This window comes from Homo sapiens, chromosome 4, assembly GCF_000001405.40.
Source record: "Homo sapiens chromosome 4, GRCh38.p14 Primary Assembly".
NCBI lineage: Eukaryota > Metazoa > Chordata > Mammalia > Primates > Hominidae > Homo > Homo sapiens.
The window spans coordinates 54,601,971-54,610,677 of record NC_000004.12 but is presented as its reverse complement, the minus strand read 5'-3'; the positions used below and the strand labels follow the sequence as shown (position 1 = coordinate 54,610,677).

Below are 8,707 nucleotides of genomic sequence, written 5' to 3'. Positions count from 1 at the left end.
TCCTCAGTAGCTGGGAGCGGAGAGCAATTCCTGTCACCACTGGGGACCCGTCATTACATTCAATCTCTAAAGGCCCTGGGTCTGAGCTCAGCAACAATTTTTGAAAGCTATTTGGGATGGAGTAGGTAATGTCAGGGGTATGATGTGGAGAGAAAACATGACATTTCGTATCTCAGTTAAGCTGGTTTATTAACGAATTCTGTCTCTTGCTGGTGGATTGTTTTCCTCAATTCTGGAGTCTTGGGTTTAAGGCCATTCTGAGGATGACAGATGTGATTATTTAGATACATGACTGCAGTTCGAGAGTAAATGCTGATGTGGGAAACCTTTAAAAAACAGTGTATGGGGCCGGGCGCAACGGCTCACTCCTGTAACCCCAGCACTTTGGGAGGCTGAGGTGGGTAGATCACAAGATCAGGAGTTCAAGACCAGCCTGGCGAATATGGTAAAACCCCGTCTCTACTAAAAATACAAAAAATTAGCTGGGTGTGGTGGTGGGTGCCTGTAGACCCAGGTACTCGGGAGGCTGAGGCAGAAGAATAGCTTGAACCTGGGAGGTGGAGGTTGCAGGCAGCCGAGATCGTGCCACCCCACTCCAGCCTGGGCGACACAGCGAGACTCTATCTCAAAACAAAACAAAACAAAAACCCAAAAAAACAAAACAAAAAACAGTGTATGGAAAGAGTGTTTGTAAAATGTTATCTTTTGTGTAAGAAAGGTAGATATTACTATATGTATGTATTTTTCAAAAAAGAAACAGTGGTAGAATAAACAAAAAAACTAAGGCAAATGACATCTCCAGGGGAGAGAGGGAATAAGGTGGAGAAGATAGAGATAGACCCTAGACTTCTCTGAATGTGACTTATGTGACTTAGGTGTCTTATCACATGGGTTTGGCTTTGAAACGGTGTAAATGTTTTAGATATTTTTTACGTTAAAAATTCCTAAACATCAAAAACAACCTGAAACAAATGAACCTGACTCTATGTCAAATTGGTGGCTAAATCAAAGAGTAGAGAATTACTTCAAGGAGGGTGATCAACCCTCCTGGTTTGCCTGGAACTATCCAGGTTTACAGTTGGCCACCCCAACAGGTGATTATAAAACCTACATTTTGGCTGTACATCCTGAGTAAGACATATTCTAGGGACAAATAAAAACCACAAAGAAATATTTAACTACGTTCAGTGTTTTATTGCTGTATTGTATTGTAAGACCATTATAGTATACCTATAGTATAAGTACAGTAAAGTATAAGATAAATATATAATTAAGGTGGTTAGGAACCAAGGTTTCCATATATAGGAAAAAGGATAAAATTAAAGAAATTATGTAAATCTTGTAAATGCCAGCATGAACTCAGGATTTGATGCAAATGTCCTACCTTTGCCCACTGAAAAGCCTGAAATTAATGATGACTCTGTAGCAAGGAACAACTCTAGCTCTTAGATTGCAGCCTGTAAATACCAACCTCCCTTTAAAAAGAGTCAAAGATCACTAAAGAAATGACTGATTTCAGATCTGGGGGCAGAAATGTACAAGATGAAACTAAGCTATCTAATTGTGCCCAAAGCAAGGAAGCAATCAAAGATTGATAAAGTCATGACAAAAGAGCACTGGATTCATCTTGAAGGGGCTTACATTGGCCTGAAATGAGACATTTGAGCATCAAAAGGAATAATGACTGCCATGGATTGAAAACTTTAACTATATAAAAATTATAAGCTCATCCGAAGCAATCAAAAACAAATGTCTTTGGTAACTCCCTAGGGCAACAAATCATTACTTTGAAAATAAAGGGACAGAATCAATTTCTTTTTTTCCTGCTTTTCCTGTATAAATTTTATTTCAGGGTAACCAGATAGTTGACAAGAAGAAATTCTTTTTTATAGAAGTATTACAGTTAATAAAATTGAAATAAGTAATTGAATTAGAAAATCAACATTTTGGAATCTCTAATGAAAAACAGATTTGGGCAATCATTGTCAACAATTGCCAAAACCACAAAATAAAAAGTTAACAGGAAACTGTGTAGTGGATGGATCAGGCTAATATCACCTGAGCCCACTGATCAATCTTTTAAAAAAAGTAAAACAATCTCAAATATACAGAAAAGTTGCAAGTACAATACAATGCCTTTTTTGGTCCTTAAGAGAAATTTGTCCACATGATACCCCACCAATCCTAAACACTTTAGTGTTTATTTCCCACAAACAAGGACCTAATCCCAGTAAACCACAGCACAACCATCAAAATCAGAAAATTAATATTACTATATTAGTGTCAAGAACTGAGAAGGGTCTGAGTTTGTCTTCTACTTTCAAACTGATGTTAGTCTATTGTAGTTGCATGGATGCTGGCAGAAGTCATGAGATTCCTGGGTCAGAGACAAAGCACTTTATTGCTCATTACACAGCAAGTGGCATGAACAGCCTATCTGTGTCAGGTCTCCTTGCCTCCAAATTCCATCCAGGCAATATGAAAAGCTCCAGATCTTTGTACTTACACATAGAGAACTGCCTTACAGGAGAAAAACCCTGAGCTTAGGGAACCCATCGTTTATTTATTTATTATTTTTAAACTTTTATTTTAGGTTTAGGCATACACGTGCAGGTTGGTTATATAGGTAAACTGGCGTCACAGGAGTTCGTTGTACAGATTATTTTGTCACCTGGGTACTAAGCCTAGCACTCAATAGTTATTTTTTTTCTGATCCTCTCCCTCCTCCTACCCTCAACTGTCAAGTAGGCCCCAGTGTCTGTTGTTCTTCTCTTTGTGTCCATGAGTTCTCATCACTTAGCTCCCACTTACAGGTGAGAACATGCAGCTTTTGGTTTTCTGTTCCTGCATTAGTTTGCTAAGGATAATGGCCTCCAGCTCCATCCAAGGGAACCTATCTTTTATAATGGGCAGTAAGCATACCTGCCCTTTGATCTGGAGAGAGGGAGACATTGTTTCTATCTTGTAAGACTGAAAGCCAACTTGCCCTTTGCTCCAGAGAGAGACCCTATCTCTGTCTTCTAAGGCTGTTTGCTATCCAAACATTCTTGCAAAGCTAATCTGGAACAAAGAGAAGAGAGTACCTCTGTGAGATGTGCACAAATGTGAGAGAACCACAGGTAACTGTCTCCTAATACTGCAGTACTGGTAGCAGTTTTCTTAATTTTAGGCTTCCTAGAGGAAGTTGTATCTAATGGGAGTCATTTTTGAAAAAGGGTTAGCTAACAGATATTTGGGGATAGGAGATACAGGAAGCGAGTATTTTAGACAGAGGAAACAGCATGGAAAAGAAAAGCCCAGGAGGCTTTGGAGGCTGGGGAGGAGGAGGAGGCTTCAGCTGAGGTCAAAGAAGCAGGTTTATTTTGAAGGGTCTTGTAAGCCTCGAGCTGCTGTTGGTACTTGATCCTGAGTCCTTGAAATGGTTTAAGCTGGGGAGTGGCATGATCAAATGTGTGCTTTAAAAAGGCCACTTGGGCTGCAGCTGCAAGTGGACTGGATTCAGCCCAAGGTTAATTTTTTCTGCTTGGTTTCCTGTAATCAGGTTCAGGGAGATGGGGATGCATGTATTGAAATTCTGCCACATGGTAGATGGGGCTGTCTTTGAAGATGAACATATTTGAGGTCAATCTCACTGCCCCTCCTCCAATCTCACCCTCCAGCGTTTTGATCCAAGTGCCCACAGTTCTGATGAATGTCAAAGGCAAGCTTGAGGAGGGAAGAGGAAATGATTAGTCCTTTACACTCCAGGTCAATTTACTAAGGATGAATTCTCCAAATGATCAGCCGGATTTTCAAGTAAGTTCTCCTTGTTTGTCAATTTACCTATTTCTTTTTAACTGTTCATAATGTTTATATTAATTTGTTTCGGATGGAATTATTTTTAGCAGATATTAAAGATTTTCATGCAATATTAATTGATAAATTTGAAGATTTACTTTGGTTTAGTTTTCATTTGAACTTAGTTCTAGTTTATTCTAGCTGTTTTTCTGCGACCAAATTTCAATATATTCCAGATTTTTCTATATTTTGGGTCAATGACTTTGGGGAGTGAAAGTTTCATTGTTATTTCAAATGCATGCATTTTGGAAGACAAAGATTTAGAAATGGTAGAGCAGGTTTCTCTCTTCCAATACTTTTCATTCCAGTTCATTGCCTTTTGTGTATCACTTAATTCACAGATTTGTTAATCAGCTAGTTCAAATAAATATTTTGCCTGTATTTCAAGCACTTGAGAAGGGATTAGTGTCTGAAATGTGATCACTCACAAAATTGAAATTCAGTTGAGTTGGATTGACAAATCTGTTACAAAGCAGCTGGGGTGAACCAGCTGAGCACAACTAAAACTAAAACTAAACTCTAACTTCAGCAGCAAGCAGAAAACCTGTAAAGGCATTAGAAACCATTTCACATAACTAATTTGCTATTAAGTTTTTTTTTTTTTGAGGTGGAGTCTTGCTCTGTTGCCCAGGCTGGAGTGCAGTGGCACGATCTTGGCTCACTGCAACTTCTGCCTCCCAGATTCATTCCATTCTCCTGTCTCAGCCTCCCAAGTAGCTGGGACTACAGGCGCCCGCCACCACACCCGGCTAATTTTTTGTGTTCTTAGTAGAGATGGGGTTTCACCATGTTAGCCAGGATGGTCTTGATCTCCTGACCTCGTGATCCGCCCACCTCGGCCTCCCAAAGTGCTGGGATTACTGGCGTGAGCCACCGCGCCCATCCCCTGCTATTAATTTTTTTGAAAATTATATATGTTTTACTTTACTCACAATCTAGAGAATTGAATTAATCATTCTTACTTCATAAAACACCATAATCATTGACCCATACACGGTCCCTGTCATGTTTGATTTTATTTTGTATATTTCCCCTTCATCTCCAATCTCCACTCCCATTCCCCACCTCCACAGGACTCAATTTAACGTATTCATGATATGTTCTTAAAATGCATGTACCTTTTCTGTAGTGCTATGTATATATTTGATTTCAATTTACATACATAGAATGGTGCTACAAATCTTCTGTTTCTTACCCTGTTTGAAGGGTCTACACATGTTGATGTTTGTACATTTAGTTCATTACCCTTGTTAAAGCAAACTAAATATGGCCTGAGAAGTACTCTATACTTCTATATTTGAGTCCTTGCGGATGACTACAGACAAAATTGAAAATGTTACTTAATAGTATGCACCTCTAACAATGGCTGAGTGTTGGCCAATCCCAGTAGCCATACTTCAACCACTCATAGACTGCTGAATGTTCAAACTGCGTTTAAATAAGGCAAATGCCCAGCTCTAACCAATCTCACTGTTTCTATACCTCACTTCTGATTTCTGTACGTCACTTTCCCCTTTTTATCTATTAATTTGTTCTGACCACAAGGCACCCCTGGAGTCTCTGTAAATCTGCTGTGATTCTGGGGGCTGCCCGATTCACGAATCATTCATTGCTCCATTAAACTCTTTTAAATTTAATTCGGCTTAAGTTTTTCTTTTATCAGATGGTGTCAGAAGCGGTATCCGAAGTGGAGCTTCTAGCGACCACTAGGAGGGCTGAGTGAACACGCAAGCTACCTGCAGGACCCACTTGTCTCAGATTTTGGAGCTCCGTGGATTTGTGTTTTGAGCTCTCCGAGTTTCTTTGAACAAATTTCTGATCCAAACTGGGTTTGGAGTCGCAACAGAAACTGGACTGGGTCCAGGAATGGATTTGATCCAGAAATTAACTGGCTTGGATCAAGTTAGAGGCCTCTTACGTCTGACTGGGTGAGAAAGGAACAGGTGGATTTTGAACATTCACAGGGATTTTTGCATTATATCCCTTTGTTTCATTTTTCTTGCACGCTTAGGTAGGGGAAAAAAATCATTGGCTAAGTTAATCAAGAGAACCTGAGCATAAAGCCAATATTTGAGGTAAAAATGGGATCCTTAATTTCTGGAAAACCGAGTTCCTTCTGGCTTATACTTTAGGCCTGGGAGGCAGTGAAGTCTTACAGAAACAGCAAAATCTTACTAAAGATACCTTACAGTGGAACATTCCCAAAGAACAACAATGCATTGAAGTACATTTAAAAAATGAGGGCTCTTGGTAAAGTCCCTTTTAGCTGAGAAAGGGTTTGGCACTCCAGCATGTCAATTGCTGTTCTCTTTGGCATAATCTGCCTTGCACTCTTTGCTGATGGCTGTGGGTGACAGGATTAGGCATGTACAGGATCGTGGGACATGGGAAGCTTTTTCTTCCCTAAAAGGGGAAACTTTAGAGATGATGGGACCGTTGGAAAAGATCCATTTGGTACCAAGAAGCAGCGGCCTGAACTTTTCAGTGTCGCTGCAATAGGTGGGTCTTTCTGTGGCCTCCCTGATCATTTCACCTTCCCCACCTTGCCACAGGCAATGCTTTTCTCTCTCTCCTTTCCCTTTCTTATGTTTTCTATTACTCAGGGAGACCACCTTGCCCAGAGACCACAGGTTGAAACTCCTGGTCGGAGGTTGGATTAACAATGATGGGGCCCAACCAGGGGCAAATTTGAGCCTTGCTGGTTTGACATTGGGTGCCAACCACAGTGGCTAATGTCTATGTTTTTGTCACACATATTTTACTCTGGCCAGGACAAAAAAAAGATAATTTTCCTTTATGATGTGGCTTTGCCCCAGTGCGATGGTGTGGCAAGCTGAGTCACTAGGGGCGCTCATGGAAAGCGTACCCAGAAGCCTGGCATCCCGGCAAAAAGTTAAGAATTTCTTACCAGTTAGATTTCAGGCTTCTCTCTCTCTCTGTGCAAATGGTTGAATGAACGGTAAAAATTGCTGTTTATCTCCATTTTGTTTTACGTCCTTGGGAGCTTGACCTTGTAACCATGTGGCGGTACTTTCTCTTGGTTTCCGCCTTCCAGGGAACAGGAATTTTAGGGCTTATGTCATAGTTAGCTCTAAAAATTATCTCGAGTAGCTAAAAGCCTTTGCAAGCTCAAAATTAACTACTCTAGATTCCTCCTGGGAGAGGTCATAAAAGATTGCCCCATGTTGGAGCTCAGTAGCTAAGGCTTTGCTCTTTCATACTGGTGGTCTGGGTTCAATTCCCTGCCTATGAAGTAAGTTGCGTTTAGTTTAATATTTGTATGACCTTGTCTAGTCTCTTCTCCATGTACTATCTAATTTTCCTTTCTCTGAGCACCTGGGAGGTTACCTTTGGTAGAGTTCAAAAGCCAGAAATACCAGCCGTTTGGCCTGGCTAAAATTGGGTAATAAAAAATTTTAAAAGGACTTTATTAAAGAGTGCTATGGTTAAAAGTCAGCTTAATTAAAAGTGGATATTGAAGCTCTAACTGCCTGGACTTCTTGGGAAAAACAGAAGGCACCAGAAATCCCTTTCTGGCCCTCTTCTTCCAAGGGCTCCACCCAAAAGCCAATAACCAGTTAAGAAACATAAAAACTGGCAAAATAAAAAATCTTACAACTACTGTGGTAATCTTCTTCTGTCTGTCTGTATAATTATATATGTGTTGTGTGTAATGTTTATATAAAAGAGCTCTGATTAATTGGCTTAAACAAAAATAAGCTCAAATTAAATATTTAGAAAGCAAAATAAAAACAGCTTTAAAGATTACTGATAAAATAAAGACATTTTTGTCTAAATTATGCAGGTCAGATATTAGATTTGCTAAATGCTTTAAGGTCATAAACTGCTTTGACTTTTGAAAATTGTTCAATTTATTCTGGAGACATTACATTCTAAATAAGGCCTGGGGATATATGGAATTAGCCATGCCCCTTAGCTATGCAAAGAAGGCTATAAAGAAAATAGATTTTATATAAGAAAGGATGTTGTATGGTAAATTCTTGTCCTAAAGTAAAATGACTGGTTGTTTAAAAAGAAGGACGTTTAGGGCAAGTCACTCAGAAAGTCTAAACATGTCTCACATAGTCTGTGTAAGTCATGAAAGAATTTATGAAAATAAATTTATGCCAGAAATGTATAATTTAAAGGTGATTAGGGCTGGGGGCAGTGGCTCACTCCTGTAATCCCAACACTTTGGGAGGCTGAGGTGGGTGGATCACGAGGTCAGGAGTTTGAAACCAGCCTGACCAACATGGTGAAACCCGTCTCTACTGAAAATATAAAAATTAGCCAGGCGTGAGGGCGCACACCTGTAATCCCAGATACTCAGGAGGCTGAGGCAGGAGAATCACTTGAACCCAGGAGGTGGAGGTTGCAGTGAGCCGAGATGGCACCACTGCACTCCAGCCTGGGCAAAGGAGTGAGACTTTATCTCAAAAAAAAAAAAAAATAAATAAATAAATAAATAAATAAATAAATAAATAAAGGTGAATAGGCCTCCTAAATGATTTATAACATGCCACTATGACTGTACAGCTTGCCTATTTTACGGCTAGGTAAGGCCTGGGACATGTGGAGTTAGATGATGGAAAGAGTCAGACCTTATGTGCATTTCTGTCTGGGTCCTAGGCTCCCCATCTAGTACATAATTAAAATCCCTTACTTACCAAGATTTTCACCAAAAGTAAAAGTCTCTAAGAGTTAACATTGTAATATGCAATTGAGACTACTGAAAAAATGAGTTTACATACAAGGTGTGTAAGGAGAATAAAAAGTATTTTTGTAAGAGATTATAAGAAGGTAAGGGAATGTAAATTTTTGCCTAGGTTAGAGGGTTAAAGCATTGTTTTAAATTAAATAAAGCTAAATG

At 39.6% G+C, this 8,707-nt stretch overlaps 1 long non-coding RNA gene across 1 annotated transcript; it reads left to right on the top strand.

Moving 5' to 3' along the window:
- The first annotated feature begins 3,546 nt into the window (after window positions 1–3,546).
- On the top strand, window positions 3,547–7,467 carry LINC02260 (long intergenic non-protein coding RNA 2260). The gene is made up of 2 exons (NR_134657.1): window positions 3,547–3,795; window positions 5,501–7,467. It is a non-coding gene; the product is annotated as a long intergenic non-protein coding RNA 2260 (long non-coding RNA).
- Window positions 7,468–8,707: the final 1,240 nt, after the last annotated feature.